Source organism: Homo sapiens, chromosome 9 (genome assembly GCF_000001405.40).
Source record: "Homo sapiens chromosome 9, GRCh38.p14 Primary Assembly".
Lineage (NCBI taxonomy): Eukaryota > Metazoa > Chordata > Mammalia > Primates > Hominidae > Homo > Homo sapiens.
The window spans coordinates 129977175-129993537 of record NC_000009.12 but is presented as its reverse complement, the minus strand read 5'-3'; the positions used below and the strand labels follow the sequence as shown (position 1 = coordinate 129993537).

General features: G+C 43.5%; 1 protein-coding gene across 38 annotated transcripts in view, besides 4 other annotated features; it reads left to right on the top strand.

Moving 5' to 3' along the window:
• The window catches only part of FNBP1 (formin binding protein 1), a 166693-nt gene that overhangs the window by 60342 nt on the left and 89988 nt on the right, over positions 1–16363 (top strand). For all 38 annotated transcript variants that reach the window (NM_001439055.1, NM_001439054.1, NM_001439053.1 and 35 more), the window contains exons 3-4: positions 14164–14220; positions 14926–15073. In NM_001439055.1, coding sequence (NP_001425984.1) covers positions 14966–15073 — 108 coding nt within the window. In that variant the 5' untranslated portion in view covers positions 14164–14220; positions 14926–14965. The remainder of the gene's footprint in view (positions 1–14163; positions 14221–14925; positions 15074–16363) is intronic.
• Positions 1291–1340: an enhancer, noted in NCBI's record as "active region_29135". NCBI's record gives its function as "activates an Ori minimal core promoter by ATAC-STARR-seq in GM12878 lymphoblastoid cells {active_cell/tissue: GM12878}" and the evidence as "EXISTENCE:reporter gene assay evidence [ECO:0000049][PMID:35858748]".
• Positions 1351–1400: an enhancer, noted in NCBI's record as "active region_29134". NCBI's record gives its function as "activates an Ori minimal core promoter by ATAC-STARR-seq in GM12878 lymphoblastoid cells {active_cell/tissue: GM12878}" and the evidence as "EXISTENCE:reporter gene assay evidence [ECO:0000049][PMID:35858748]".
• Positions 3474–3768: a silencer, noted in NCBI's record as "tiled region #9235; K562 Repressive non-DNase unmatched - State 7:EnhWF". NCBI's record gives its function as "represses a minimal TATA promoter and a strong SV40 promoter by Sharpr-MPRA in K562 cells {active_cell/tissue: K562}" and the evidence as "EXISTENCE:reporter gene assay evidence [ECO:0000049][PMID:27701403]".
• Positions 4518–4567: an enhancer, noted in NCBI's record as "active region_29133". NCBI's record gives its function as "activates an Ori minimal core promoter by ATAC-STARR-seq in GM12878 lymphoblastoid cells {active_cell/tissue: GM12878}" and the evidence as "EXISTENCE:reporter gene assay evidence [ECO:0000049][PMID:35858748]".

The following is a 16363-nucleotide window of genomic DNA, read 5'->3' as shown; positions in this document are numbered from 1 at the left end:
TTCAAGACCAGCCTGGGCAACATAGTGAGCCCCCTGTCTCTGTTTTTTTTTTTTTTTTAAGTACTTTGGATCTCCTTACATCTTTTAATGATGAGATTATCCAAGAAATTTGTGTTTTTATAGAATATATTTAAAAGTTCTTGGTAGAACTAAGCTTGAACTTGAAGTGGCATGCAAAGTCCTTAATGATTTCATGTTGTATAGTTGTAGTTGAATTGGTTTGTGGATATTGTTTTAAGGCCTGTTAAAGAGCTAGATGATTTTGATTTAGAAACATTTACTTTCCTTTTTCTTTAATTTTTTTTTTTTTTTTGAGACAGTCTCACTCTGTCGCCCAGGCTGGAGTGCAGTGGTACAATCTCAGCTCACTGCAATCTCCGCCTCCCAGGTTCAAGTGATTCTCCTGCCTCAGCCTTCCAAGTAGCTGGGATTACAGGCTTGTGCCACCATGCCTGGCTAATTTTTGTATTTTTAGTAGAGAGAGTGTTTCACCATGTTGGCCAGGCTGGTCTTGAACTCCTGACCTCAAGTGATCCGCCTGCCTCGGTCTCCCAAAGTGCTGGGATTACAGGCGTGAGCCACCGTGCCCAGCCCTTTTTTCTTTTTTTTTTTTTTTAATTTTCTTCAAGCTCCCTCACCATTGAGTTTTAATCCAAAGAGCATCTGCATAAAAGATATGTGTTCTTGGCTGGGCGCAGTGGCTCATACCTGTAATCCCAGCACTTTGGGAGGCCAAGGCAGGTGGATCACGAGGTCAGGAGTTTGAGACCAGCCTGGTCAAGATGGTGAAACCCCGTCTCCACTAAAAATACAAAAATGAGCCAGGCATGGTGGCGGGTGCCTGTAATCCCAGCTATTCAGGAGGCTGAGGCAGGAGAATCGCTTGAGCCCAGGAGGCAGAGGTTGCAATGAGCCAAGATCGCGCCACTGCACTCCAGCCTGGGCAACAGAGCAAGACTCCATCTCAAAAAAAAAAAAAAAAAAAAAAGAGCTATGTGTTCTTATAAGGGTTTCTGTTGTTGTTTCAGCAAGCTGGGATTACAGGTGTGAGCCACTGTGCCTGGCCCCAGATTTTGTTTTTATTGAGTGAATAACATGTAAAACATCACACAATGAAATAATTTTTATAAGTGGAGAATCCAGATCAGTTTCTAGTGCCCTGTGTGCATATCAGTCTCGTCAACACGTCAGGGGCTTTTCGAACTGAAAGTAGGAATAGAACATGGTCTGTTTCACGTTGATTATTTGAATGCTGCACTATTAGTCATGCAATGTTGTCTTTCATGTGAAAATGGGCTACGTGCGAGCTCTCAAGCGGGCTACTGGTATTCTTCCCACGACAGTCTCCCTTGCTGGCCCCTGCTCTTCCCCTGCCTCTTCACATTGCTGTGCCCAGCATCTGCTTCTCAGTCCTTCTCCCTTCCCAGTCTGTACTCTCCTGGTGACCTCAACTGTCTCATGGCTTTAGGTATAATCCATATGGCAATGACTCACAGATATGGATCTCTAAGCCAGACCTCTCTCCTGAATTCCAGAAACAGCTTGCTCAAAGTCTCCACTTAGAAATGTCTAAAAACTTGGCTGGGCGCGGTGGCTTATGCCTGTAATCCCAGCACTTTGGGAGGCTGAGGCGGGCGGATCACGAAGTCAGGAGATCGAGACCATCCTGGCTAACACGGTGAAACCCCATCTGTACTAAAAATACAAAAAATTAGCTGGAAATGGTGGCGGGCGCCTGTAGTCCCAGCTACTTGGGAGGCTGAGGCAGGAGAATGGCATGAACCCAGAAGGCAGAGCTTGCCGTGAGCCAAGATCACACCACTGCACTCCAGCCTGGGCGACAGAGTGAGACGCCATCTCAAAGAAAAAAAAAAAAAAGGAAATGTCTAAAAACCATCTGAAATGATCTGAAATGTAACATGTCTGAAACTGAACTCCGGATCTCCCCAACTTAAAAATCCACATGTCTAGGCCAAGTGAAGTGGCTCACACCTAAAATCTTAGCACTTCAGGAGGCCGAGGTGGGTACTTGAGCCCAGGAGTTGGAGGCCAGCCTGAGCAACATAGCGAGACCCTGCCTCTAAAAAGAATTTTAAAAAATTAGCCAGGCATGGTGGCGCACACCTGTAGTCCCAGCTACTTGAGAGGCTGAGGAGGGCGGATGCTTGAGCCCAAGACGCTGGGGCTGCAGTGAGCCATGATTGCACTACTGCACTCCAGCCTGGGCAACAGAGCAAGACCCTATCTCAAAAAAAAAAAAAATCTGCATTTCCACGACCTAGATTTTCCTCCACTCACCTGAGGGTAGCTGCATCCTTCCTGGTTTAGGTCAAAAACCCTAGCATCACCCAGGTGCAGGGGGATCACTGGAGGTCAAGAGTTCAAGACCAGCTGACTAACATGGTGAAACCCTGTCTCTACTAAAAATACAAAAACATTAGCCAGGCGTGGTGGTGGGCGCCTGTAATCCTACCTACTCAGGAGGCTAAGGCAGGAGAATCCCTTGAACCCAGGAGGCAGAAGTTGCAGTAAGCTGAGATTGTGCCACTGCACTCCAGCCTGGGTGACAGAGCAAGACTCCATCTCAAAAAAAAAAAAAAAAAAACCCTGGTGTCATCATCATCTCTGTCTGCCTTCTTTTCTCACACACTCACACTCCCCAGCTCAAGCCATCAGGAAATCTTGACTTCTCTACAGATTTATCCAGGATCTGACACTTGTTATCACCTCCACTGCTGCCACTGTGGTCCATGTCACATGGCCTACGTGGTCCATGATCTTTTGCCTGGTTATGATGAGTCTACTAACTAGTTTCCCTTATTCTACCTCTATCCCCTATTCCCTGATTTCTACAGAGCAGCCAGATTACAGTATTCCTCTGTTCAAAATTCCAGTGCGTCCCCATTTCATTCAGAGTAAATCCAAAAACCTTACGGTGAAAGTCCTCCAAAACCTTGTATAATCTGGTTCCCACACCTTTCTGACATCATCTGTTTTAACTCTCTTCCTCCTCCTCTCTGCTGTAACCATACAGAGGCCTCCTTCCTGTTTTTTGTACATGCCAGGCATCCCCTCACCCGAGAGCTATTGCGCTAGCCCTTCCATGTAGATATCACCTATGTGTTCTTCCCCAGGCTCCAAGTGGCTGACTCCCTCTCCTGCTTCCAGTTTCTGCTCAGTGAGGCCCACCTCGTCCCTTAGCCCACTTAGCCTGCTTTGCTTTTTCAGTTTTCCTATATTACTGGTAACTTTCTACCATTTTATATAGTTTTCTTGTTTAGTTTTGAAAATTGACAAAATATGTATTTCTATATTATTTGTATATAAAATTGTATATATTTATGGTATACATGATGTCTTGAAATATGTATACGCTGCAGAATGCCCAAATCAGGCTAATTAACATATGCATTACTACTCAAACTTAATATTTTTTTTGTGGGAAGAACATTAAAATCTACTCTTCTAGCAATTTAGCAACCCCTCCCCTCCCCTCCCCTTCCCTCTTTCTTGAGACAGGGTCTCACTCTGTCACCCTGGGTGGAGTGCAGTGGCACGATCTTGGCTCACCTCCCGGGCTCAAGTGAACCTCCCACCACAGCCTCCCAAGTAGCTGGGACCACAGGAATGCGCTGCCACACCCGGCTAATTTTTGTATCTTTTGCAGAGACAGAATTTCACCATGTTGCCCATGCTGGTCTTGAACTTCTAGGTTCAAGCGATCCTCTGACCGAGGCCTCCCAAAGTGCTGGGATTACAGGTGTGAGCACCCGGCCTGGCAATTTTCAAGTATACAATACATTGTTATTAACTGGAGACACAATGTTGTACAATAGATCTCTTGAACTTATTTCTCCTACAATTTTGCCTCATTTGAATAACATCTCCCCAAACCTTCCCAGAGAAATCTGGGTATTATATTTACTGCGCATTGTCTCCTGCAGCCTCTCAGCTAGAATGCAAGCCCCTTAAGGGTGGAGATCTTTGGGTTGTGCTCACTAATGTGTCATAGTGCAGAACAGTGCCTGGCACATAGTAGGTGCCCAGTAAATATTTGTAGATTGTGAGTGAATCGGTAGGGTACAGGCCTAAGATATTTAGCCAGCTTTGCTTTATGGGGAATTATGTGTTTGCACCGGCCTGTGAGAGCTGATGAGATTTTAACAACAAAAAGTAGAACAACAAGGTGCCAGCCGAGTTTCAATCACTAGGGATGCTTGAATGAACGAGACACAGGAAGTGCCTGAACCTGGAGTGCTCACCTTTCACAGCAGAAAACAGAACTGCATGCAAATTAGCAAAGAATTCGAGCATTTAAAGATAGCATGTATGACTCCAAATATGTAAACGCAGTGATGTGATAGAGATTGAAGTGGGGGTGGTTACTGAGCTAGGCTGGTCAGGGAAAACCCATCACTTGAGAAGTGAATTACAAAAAGAAGCCAGACATGTAAGGATGTGGGGGGAGAGAGTGCAAAGGTCCTGAGACGGGAACATGTAGAAGGAATAGAAAGGCCAGTGTGGCTACAGAATATTCAACAGATACTTGGTTGAAATAGTAATATGATGTTGAAAAATCATTGTGGCCTTTGGGAGAGATAACTATCATTAAATATTTTTTTTCTGCATTGCAGGGGAGAATGCTAACTTATTTTAGACATAAACGTGAGACTTTGATTCCTGTAGGTCAGGTCTTAGCATGGGCCAAATCCATCCACTACTTGGTTTTGTAAATAAAGATTTGTTGGAATGTTGCCGTGCCCATGTGTATTGTCTATGGCCACTTTTGCAAACAATTGGCAATTGAGTAGTTGCAAAAGAGATGCATTTACCTGCAAGTCTGAATTTTTTTTTTCTCTTCGAGATGGAGTCTCGCTCTGTCACCCAGGCTGAAGTGCAGTGGTACAATCTCAGCTCACTGCAACCTCCACCTCCAGGGTTCAAGCGATTCTCCTGCCTCAGCCTCCTGAACAGCTGGGACTACAGGCGCACACCACCATGCCTGGCTAATTTTTGTATTTTTAGTAGAGACAGGATTTCACCATATTGGCCAGGCTGGTCCTAGACTCCTGACCTTGTGATCCACCTGCCTCGGCCTCCCAAAGTGCTGGGATTACAGGCATGAGCCACCGCACCTGGCCCTGAAATATTTACTTTCTGGTCCTTTACAGAAAAAGTTTGCCAACCCCTGAGGTCACTATCTATTCAAGGTAGTATAGGTTGAAATTCCTAATATAATTTTTTTTTCTGAGTCTGAACAACCTAATTTTATTTATTTTTGAGACAGTTTCTGTCACCCAGGCTGGAGTGCAGTGGCATGATCTCCAGTCCCTTTCCAGAAACTATGGCCCATGACACTCCATTAGCAGAGTAACAGGGCCTGCTCAACCTCACCCTCACTGCTGCTTTCTGTTTCCAAACCGATCTTTGTCAATTTGCTACTTAACAACTGGTACATCTAGGTCTTAAATTGCATTTCTCTTAGTATGCATGGGGGTTGAACATCTTTTGATACATTTGAGCCATTTATGGTTTTAAAAAATGAACCATTCAAGTCTTGGTCTGTTTTTAATTGGAGCTCATTGTATATAGAGGGTAACTAGGTAGAAATCATATTATACAACAAATTGCATATCGTATATATCATATATATAAAGAAATGAATTTAAATTTAACAGTACAAACGACAGTAAAGTGAAACTGAGGGATGCGCTAAGCTTTAAATATTAAACTCTTAGGCCAGGCACGGTGGCTCATACCTGTAATCCCAGCATTTTGGGAGGCCGAGGTGGGCAGATGACCTGATGTTGGGAGTTTGAGACCAGCCTGGCCAACATGGTGAAACCCCGTCTCTCTACTAAAATCACAAAAATTAGCCGGGCGCTCCTGTCATCCCAGCTACTCAGGAGGCAGAGGTTGCAGTGAGCCAAGATGACGCCACTGCACTCCAGCCTGGGTGACAGACTCTGTCTCAAAAAAATAAATATTAAACTTTGGTAAAATTTATCAAAAAGATTATGAAAAACTTACAGGATGTCATTATTGTGTGTGTGTACTTCCATGTTGAAATTCTAAACAGGCTCAATTGACTCACTGCTATAAAAGATTAGGAAAATAATATATACATGTTTTGCTCCTTCTTCTAGTTGAGTTATATGACTGGGTTCTGAAACCCGAGGCCCTCAGTTGATTTGTCGTGGTTCTATATTTGAACGTAGAGTCATCTCAGCACTTCTCTCTACAACAGCCTCTCTCCTTGACTCTTGGCATTAAGGAAGAATATTCTCCCCCTCGTTAGAGCTTGGGACGTGTTCCCTGCGTTCTTTCTTGCTTGAAAATGCCACCATACTTTACGGCACTTTGACTTGGTTGTCTCTGGTCACACTTTCTCTCTCCATGTGGCTGCATCGTCTTTTGGAGGAAAAGTCTGGGGCCAGCCAGATGTTTCTCTCTGTAGGCAACATGGCTGTTTCTGAGTAAAAATATGAATAATTTTAGTTCATCTTAGCAGTCTGATAACTTCACTAAGCAATGCCTTGGAGTTGATCATCCTTTATCAGATAGTTTTTCTTAGTGCTCTTTCCTGTGTAAATTCTATGCTTCATTTATTTCAGGAGAAAGTTCTTTGATTATGTCTGAATGTTTTTTCTATTCTACTTACTGGGTCATATACTTCAGAGATATGAGTTATCCTTATGTTTCATCTTATTCTTATTTTTATTTTTTTATTTTTAAAATTTTTTTTCTTGAGACGGCATCTCGCTCTGTCACCCAGGCTGGAGTGCAATGGCGTGATCTCAGCTCACTGCAAGCTCCACCTCCCAGGTTCAAGCGGTTCTCCTGCCTCAGCCTCCCGAGTAGCTGGGACTACAGGCGCCCGCCACCACGCCCAGCTGATTTTTACACTTTTAATAGAGACGGGGTTTCACCATGTTGGCCAGGATGGTCTCGATCTCTTGACCTTGTGATCCGCCCACCTCGGCCTCCCAAAGTGCTGGGATTACAGGCGTGAGCCACCACGCCCGGCCTATCTTTAGATCCTTTTTTTTTCTGATTGTTTTCACATTATGGTTATTTCAGACCTTTCCTCTATTAAATTTGATATCCACCCTCATTTATTGATGGGTTCTATAGTGGTATATTTTAGTCCTTAGTTCATTTCCTCAGCTTTGTGTCTTCCTTCTCATTCCATTTTATTTTATCCCATAGTATTGGGATTCTTGATTTATTGCCTTTGTGTTTTTACTAAGTTTGTCTATAGTATAAATAATCTGAAGGAGGGTGATTTTTGCTTATTTTCCTTATATGTTTTCTTGCAGACTGGATTTTGGATTTTTCTTTTGCTTCTGTATTACCTGTCATATCTTTCACTTTGCTTATATTTATTATTTAATTTTTTTTTAAGACAAAGTCTCACTCTGTTGCCCAGGCTGGAATGCAGTGGCACGATCTCAGCTCACTGCAACCTCAGCCTCCCGGGTTCAAGCAATTCTCCTGCCTCAGCCTCCCAAGTAGCTGGGATTACAGGCACACACCACCACACCTGGCGAATTTTTTTTTTTTTTTTTTTTTTTTTGAGATGGAGCTTTGTTCTTGTTGCCCAGGCTGGAGTGCAATGGCATGATCTTGGCTCACTGCAACACCGCCTCCTGGGTTGAAGCGATTCTCCTGCCTCAGACTTCCGAGCAGCTGGGATTACAGGCATGTGCCACCACACCTGGCTGATTTTGTATTTTTAGTAGAGACGGGGTTTCACCATGTTGGTCAGGCTGGTCTCAAACTCCTTAACCTCAGTTGATCCACCTGCCTCGGCCTCCCAGAGTGCTGGGATTATAGGCATGAGCCACCACACCTGGCCCACGGCTGGCTAGCTTTTGTATTTTTAGTAGAGACAGGGTCTTGCCATGTTGGCCAGGCTTGTCTCAAACTCCTGACCCCAGTTGACCTGCCCACCTCGGCCTCCCAAACTGCTGAGATTACAGGCCACCACCCCTGGCCATGTTGCTTATATTTAATAGGGGCAGTTTAGTGAAGTGGTTGAGTTCAGACTCAAGAGTCCCAATGCCTGGGATGTAATCCTGGTTCTTCCACTTAACAGCCATATGAATTGAGTTAAATTACTCTCCTTGTTTCATGATTTTCATCTGTAAAGTGTGAATCATCATCATCATCATCATTCTCACCTTATAAGGTTGCTGAGTGGGCTTAATAAGGTAATAAAGAGCATAAAGGTCTTAGGCCAACACCTGGCGTGTGTTTGTTTCTAACGTGAGCCGCACCAGTGCCCTGTCTGCTCTGATGGAGTGTAGGTGAGTGTTCCTTGCCACACTTCGTTCCATTTCTGGTACCATTGGTCTTTCCCTTTGAGTTCCACTTGAGGCTGGGGTATTATATGTTCTGCTTGGTTTGCTGAAGGCCGAGGACAGGTGTTTATAGAGTCAGGGTCGCGAAAGGGCCTGGCTTCGAGACTCTGAGCTCTGTCATTTCTTCTGAAACTTTGTTAGAGGTTCTGTTATGGGGTTTACGCCATTAGGTCAAAGATTGCCCTAATTGTATTAGTCCATTTTCACGCTGCTGATAAAGACATACCCGAGACTGGGAAGAAAAAGAAGTTTAATTTGACTTACAGTTCCACATGGCTGGGGAGGCCTCAGAATCATGGCTGGGGGTGAAAGGCACTTCTTACATGGCAGCGGCAAGGGAAAATGAGGAAGAAGCAAAATCGGAAACCCCTGATAAACCTGTCAGATCTTGTGAGACTTATTCACTATCACGAGAATAGCACGGGAAAGACCGGCCCCCCCCATGATTCAATTACTTCCCCCTGGGTCCCTTCCACTGCATGTGGGAATTCTGGGAGATACAATTCAAGTTGAGATTTGGGTGGGGACACAGCGAACCCACATCCCTAATCCTGTGGAATCCCTGGGTTTGGGGCGAACCCCCAGGGCACTCAGCCTGGAGGTCTGGAAAGTGGACCTCCGGGGGGTGAGCCCCGGCTCCTGCCCAAGGCCTTGGGTGGTCAGCATAGATGTCTTCCTCTCAGAATTTTTCTGTCACTATTCCCTGAGCGCTTGCCTCCCAGTTTACTTCTGTCTGGGCTGATTTTCAGGGTTTGTGGACGTATTTCCCTTCCTGTGATGGGGAGGAAGGAGTCAGCACCCATTCTAAGCTGTCCCAGAATTTTCTGTTGCTCTTCTTGGTCATCATTTTCTAAAGTGTATGGACTGAGATTAGACTCCTTTCTTCATTTTTTTTATTTTTTTTATTTTCTGCTGTTAAAATTTTCCCTGGCTTTTATTTTTTCACCTTTTGTTGTTGGGAAAGCACAATTCTCTGGCTGGATTTTATTCTGCCATCTTGATCCAGAAATCTTGTGGTGAGCTTTAAAAAAATAAGAGTGAAAAAAACACAAAACATTCTTGGGCCCCACCCTAGACCTTCTGTTGCAGAGGCTCTGGAATAGGGCCGAGTAAGTCATTTTTAAAGCCTTCCTGTGGTTCTTCAAATCAGCCAGGTCTAAATCCACCATCCTTATAAAAGAATGTTTATTTTTTCTTTTACCTTTTAGTCAGGCTACCTGAAAAACAAGTCGAGATTTTCTACCTGAAAACACATCAGATTTCTCAGAAAGACCCCATAAATCAAAAGTTTTTTTAAGTGGTTTATTTGCTTGTTCATTTTTGTTGTTGTTGTTGTGGGTTTTTTTATTTGATTGTTTTGTTTTGAGACGAAGTCTTGCTCTGTCACCCAGGCTGGAGTGCAGTGGCATGATCTCGGCTCACTGCAACCTCCGCCTCCCAGGTTTAAGCGATTCTCCTGCCTCACCCTCCCAAGTAGCTGGGGCTTCAGGTATGTGCCACCACTCCCAGCTAATTTTTGCATTTTTAGTAGAGATGGGGTTTCACCATGTTGGCCAGGCTGGTCTCGAACTCCCGATCCACCTGCCTCGGCCTCCCAAAGTGCTGGGATTACAGGCATGAGCCACCGCGCCTGAACGAACCGTGTTCATTTTTTAAATAACGGTAATACAAATAGGGCAAAAACCTTGTCCCAAGAGAACAGCAATGGAAAGTTGATCTTTTTTTTGTAGCAGTTCTTGAGATAAATATCCTTTGAAATGAAGTTCACTTTGAGATCTCTTTAGCTTCTTGGTTTATGCTGGTATTTATAGAGTGAATTATTTATTAGTGCTTTTAAGAAGCATTTTGAATGCTATATATGCCAGTATTGTCAAAGTGATTCCCATTCATCAGAACTCGATGGTCTTTTCAGTATATCACCTACAAGGGATCTAATTTAATCCTGTTTAGTATTTGACTGGTAAAAGAGAACTATAAAGAATACTGGTTTACCTGGATCAATAGATTCAGAGTCACGTAAGGCTTCCTTCAACTAGATATAAAACTTACATGATTTTTATGGCTGCTAAGGACTGAAAGGAGGCTACAAAGAAAATGTGGATTTAACATTTTGGAATAATTTTTATATGAGGTGTGAATTTAGAAGTGGTATTTTCAATTTGTAAGTTACAGGTAACAGAAGAAATGATTAATATTTAAAATCATGCAGTAGTCTGGGCACAGTGGCTCATGCCTGTAATTCCAGCACTTTGGGAGGCTGAGGTGAGAGGACTGCTTGAGGCTAGGAGTTTGTGACCAGCCTCAGCAACATGGCAAGACTCTGTCTCTACAGAAAATAATAAAAATGAGCTGGGCATGGTGGTGTGCACCTGTAGTCCTAGCTACTTGGGAGGCTAAGGTGGGAAGATCCCTGGGGCCCAGGAGTTCGAGGCTTGCAGTGAGCCATGATCATGCCACTGCACTCTAGTCCGGGTGACAGAACAAGACCCTGTCTCTAAAAAAATTAAAATAAAAAATAAAAATGAATTGTAAAATAAACCACGCACTAGAAATATCTCACATGCAGCCACTACGTTTTTCCAATACTCTAATCACCCATATGTGCTGCTCTCAATATATTTGGAAAATAACCCATTGATTATGTAGTCATCTGTTTTGCGCACATTTCCCTTTCTTTTTTTCTTTCTTTCTTTTTTCTTTTTTTGAGATGGAGTCTCGCTCTGTTGCCCAGGCTGGAGTGCAGTGGCACAGTCTCAGCTCACTGCAACCTCTGCCTCCCAGGTTCAAGCCATTCCCCTGCCCCAGCCTCCCAAGTAGTTTGGATTACAGGCATGCGCCACCATGCCCAGCTAATTTTTGTATTTTTAGTAGAGACAGGATTTCACCATGTTGGTCAGGCTGGTCTCGAACTCCTGACCTTGTGATCTGCCCACCTTGGCCTCCCAAAGTGCTGGGATTACAGGCATGAGCCACCGCGCCCGGCCCCCTTTCATTCTTGATCCTTGTGATGGTGTTTTTAAGAAGTGATTGTGATCATAATCCAACTCAAAGACCTGTACTGTGCTTTTAACATAAAATATTTCTCTTTTTTGCATTGTTTTTTCTACAAGGGACATTCTTTAAGGAAATAATTGCTTTTTCACATTATTTTGCATCTAGAATTATTAAACTCTGCTATGTATCCTCAGTATCAGCAGAGAAAGCATGTCATAGTTGATATGTTGACGTGTATGCCAACATGATCTCAGTTTTGAATTAACTACATTCTTTCATCAGTCGGTCTAATTATAACTTTTAAACTATTATATATACATGCCTCCATTTTTTGAATAATTGCAGCAGTTAATATTCTACTGGATGTTATCTAGTCCCACAGAATTTCAAAACAAGAAGGACAATGGAGGTCATGTCGTCCAACCCCTGCTGACGTACACATTAGGAATGGGAAGCACAGACTGGCTCATTTGCTGAGGTCATGCTGTCCGGGCACATGGTCTCTTGATTCCCAGAGCAATGCCCTTTGTACTGAAGCCGGTGGCCTCTCCCGTCATCTAGTAGCATTTGTTACAGATGAAACCACATGTCACTTGGTATGCAAAACATACCATGATCAAAATTGTAAATTGATTATCACATATTTTTCTAGGCACATCTGTAGATTTGGGGGAAGTAGAAGAAATAAAAGTAACATGTGAAATAATAAAGAGGAATAGCAACAGGGAATTAACAAGGAAGTGAGGACTGAGATGCTGACACATGGAGTTCCTACTGTGGATTACTGCTCAGCATGCTCTCGCTATTTCTTGGCCGGGTGCAGTGGCACTTTGGGGGGCCGAGGCGGGCAGATCACCTGAGCTCAGGAGTTTGAGGCCAGCCTGGCCAACGTGGTGAAACCCCGTCTCTACTAAAAAGCACAAAAATTATCTGGGCGTGGTGGTGTATGCCTGCAATCCCAGGTACTCGGGAGGCGAGGCAGGAGAATCACTTGAACCCAGGAGGTGGAGGTTGTAGTGAGCCAAGATCATGCCACTGCACTCCAGCCTGGGAAACAAGAGTGAAACTCTGTCTCAAACAAACAAACAAGAAAACATGCTATGGCTATTTCTCTTTTTTTTTTTTTTTTTGAGACGGAGTCTCGCTCTGTTGCCCAGGCTGGAGTGCAGTGGCGCGATCTCAGCTCACTGCAAGCTCCGCCTCCTGGATTCATGCCATTCTCCTACCTCAGCCTCCCGAGTAGCTGGGACTACAGGCGCCTGCCACCATGCCCAGCTAATTTTTTGTATTTTTAGTAGAGACGGGGTTTCACCATGTTAGCCAGGATGGTCTCGATCTCCTGACCTCGTGATCCACCCGCCTCAGCCTCCCAAAGTGCTGGGATTACAGGCATGAGCCACCGTGCCTGGCTGCTATGGCTATTTCTCTAACTATAGTCACCTAAAGTCAGGACCCAGGAGAAATCAGTCAGTAGAACCAGTGTTAGTGAGGGTTTTTTTTTTTTTTTTTTTCTGTGATTACCTCTTAGTTTTTGTGTCTATTTGTGAATATAAAGAAAAATATTTAGATTCTTAACATGGAGATGAGATTAGGAAGGGAAACTAGGATGATTTTGGCTAATCTGAATGTGTTCAATGCAAACCTGCTAGGCAGGTTAAAAGTTTTTCTAGTTAAATGTCTTAGCATCAACACCCCCAAAATATTGTCTTGACTTCCTTCAAGAAGATTTATTCACAGGTGGTTTTCATGCGCTCGCTGGTAGAGCAGCCACACAGCCTTAGAAACATGCCCTTGGCACTCTGATTTTTTTTTTTTTTTTGGAGATGGAGTTTCGCTCTTGTTGCCCAGGCTGGAGTGCAATGGTGCGATCTCGGCTCACCGAAACCTCCTCCTCCCGGGTTCAAGCGATTCTTCTGCCTCAGCCTCCTGAGTAGCTGGGATTACAGGCATGCGCCACCATGCCCAGCTAATTTTGTATTTTTTAGTAGGGACGGGGTTTCTCCATGTTGGTCAGGCCAGTCTCGAACTTCCAACCTCAGGTGATCTGTCTGCCACGGCCTCCAAAGTACTGGGATTACAGGCGTGAGCCACTGTGCCCGGCCGGCACTCTGATTTTTAAACATTTGGACACAGTTTTCCTTGGATTTGAAGAAATAATGCCCCAACTCAGGATGACCACGAGAGAATGGTGGCCTGAGAAGAAAAACAGCTCAGTGCTACAAATGAAAGCCACTGCACAGCCGGGCACCGTGGCTCACACCTGTGATCCCAGCACTTTGGGAGGCCAAGGCAGGCAGATCATTTGAGGTCTGGAGTTCGAGACTAGCCTGACCAACATGATGACACCCCATCTCTACTAAAAATACAAAAAAAATTAGCCAGATGTGGTGGCGTGCACCTGTAGTCCCAGCTACTTGGGAGGCTGAGGCAGGAGAATCGCTTGAACCCGGGAGGCAGAAGTTGCAATGAGCTGAGATCACGCTACCGCATTCCAGCCTGGGCAACAGAATGAGACTCCGTCTCAAAAAAAAAGAAAGCCACTGCATATTTACACATGGTCTGTCCTCTCCAATTAAATAATTCTGTTCTTATTTGCTCTGCTTTGAGACAAAAGATGAAAAGCTGTGCACGTTCTTAATAACAGTAGCTTCATCACACATGTTGAAAGATTGAAGGAAATGGATTTCAGCTGTGGACTTTTTTTGTTTGTTTTAAACTTGTAACAAAAGCACTAATGTTATCTTTCATTCCTGATTTCTTAATTCTCTTTCTATATAAAGCTGACATGTCTGCATTTTTATTTCAGGAATCTTTCAAAGAAGTACCAACCTAAAAAGAACTCGAAGGAGGAAGAAGAATACAAGTATGTTTACCATTGAAAATTGTCTTGTAATAGACACATGCCATTGATGACTACACACGGAAAGGAGAAATACATGTCTATAAAAATAAGTTGCATTTCCCATTCATTTTGTGTCAGTTTTTAAATTGGAGGAGAGAACAATAAAAACATAATTAACTTTTCTTATATGGAGTCACTGGACCTATGCCAGATTGTTTCAATTAAAGTAATTAGGAAAACTTTAGAATGTAATTAAGCAAAAACAGGAAGTATGGAATCTGCATTCTAGAGTTGATTTGGTTTGGCACTGTCAGGAGTCCCTGTCATGCTAGTCATTCATCCAAGAAATATGTCAATTTCAGTCAGCAATTAAGGCATCTTAACACAGACCACTCAAATATTACATCTCTAATGTATATCTAAATATCCTTTACATTAGTACATATAGCATGTATATGAATTTTGGATTATATCTTGACTAAGTATCAATGAAGCCAAATATTACATTATGCGGAGCGGTTCAGTTTTGCAAAATGAAAAGTGTTTCAATTGTAATTAATTCTGAGCCATTTTGTTGAGAACACTTGATGTGTAATGAATACTCAGGATCCTATGGGAGGTGGATGCCAATTAACCTGATTTTAATTAATATTTTCTTGGTGTAAAGCAGAATATGAATGAATGTGGCCTTGTGTGAAACAGAGTGGCGTGTGTTCTGTTCCATAGGTATACGTCATGTAAAGCTTTCATTTCCAACCTGAACGAAATGAATGATTACGCAGGGCAGCATGAAGTTATCTCCGAGAACATGGCATCACAGATCATTGTGGACTTGGCACGCTATGTTCAGGAACTGAAACAGGAGAGGAAATCAGTAAGCAAAACTTTATTCTTTTTCTTCCTAAAAGATGGACCAAACACAGTGGGAATATCCCTAGAAGATTAAAATTAAATAAAACCATATAAGACTATGGGTCTTAAACTCATACCTTTGAGAATCATATAAAAGTTATGGACCCCAGCTGGGCACGGTGGCTCATGCCTGTAATCCCAGGACTTTGGGAGGCCGAGGCAGGCGGATCACAAAGTGAGGAGTTTGAGACCAGCCTGACCAACATGGCGAAACCCCATCTCTACTAAAAATACAAAAATTAGCCAGGCGTGGTGGCATGTGGCTGTAATCCCAGCTACTCAGGAGGCTGAGGCAGGAGAAACGCTTGAACCTGGGAGGCGGAGGTTGCAGTGAGCCGAGATTTTGCACCTGTGCTCCAACCTGGGCGACAGAGCAAGACTCCGTCTCAAAAAGAAAAAAAAAAAGAAAAAAAGTTACAGACCCTGTTCCTAGAAAGTGTTTCTAGGTCTCTACGTAAAATGTCAAGGGTCCTTCAGACACTCTGAAACTCATCTGTGGACCCATATTCAAAGGAATATGCATCCCTTTGAGGAATTTAAATATATTTCAGGGTATCAGACATTTAAAAAACAAGTAAGTAATATAATATGGTGTATGCTCTGTGGAATAAATGGTATTAAAATTAGTACTTATCAGTCGGGCATGGTGGCTCACGCCTGTAATCCCAGCACTTTGGGAAGCCTAGGCAGATGGATCACCTGAGCTAAGGAGTTCGCGATCAGGCTGGTCAACATGGTGAAACCCCTTCTCTACTAAAAATATAAAAACTAGCTGGGCGTGGTGACGGGTACCCATAACCCCAGCTACTTGGGGGTCTGAAGCACGAGAATTGCTTGAACCCAGGAGGTGGAGGTTGCAGTGAGCCGAGATCTCGCCATTGCACTCCAGCCTGGGTGACAAGAGCAAAACTCCACCTCAAAAAGAAAAAAAAAAAAAAAAAATTAGTGCTTGTAAGTAGGTCAAAAAAATGGAAAGATGTCCCCAGTTACATCCATTCTTTTCCTCAGCTCATTCATTGCTATCTAATGAAGCAAACCTTATTGTTCCTCTTGCCACCATTATCGTCTTTTCATAAATAGGTTTTGTTGGTAACCAAAGAGAAAAATGGATGCTCAAAGTCTATTCTTAGTCATGATTTTGCCTTAAGGGATTTATCTTTAAGCCATGGTCTGTATCATTGTACTTCGATTGCATGTGAAGTGCGGAAAAATTTGTTACTAGTAATAAAGTAATCACGTTGGCCAGTGATAA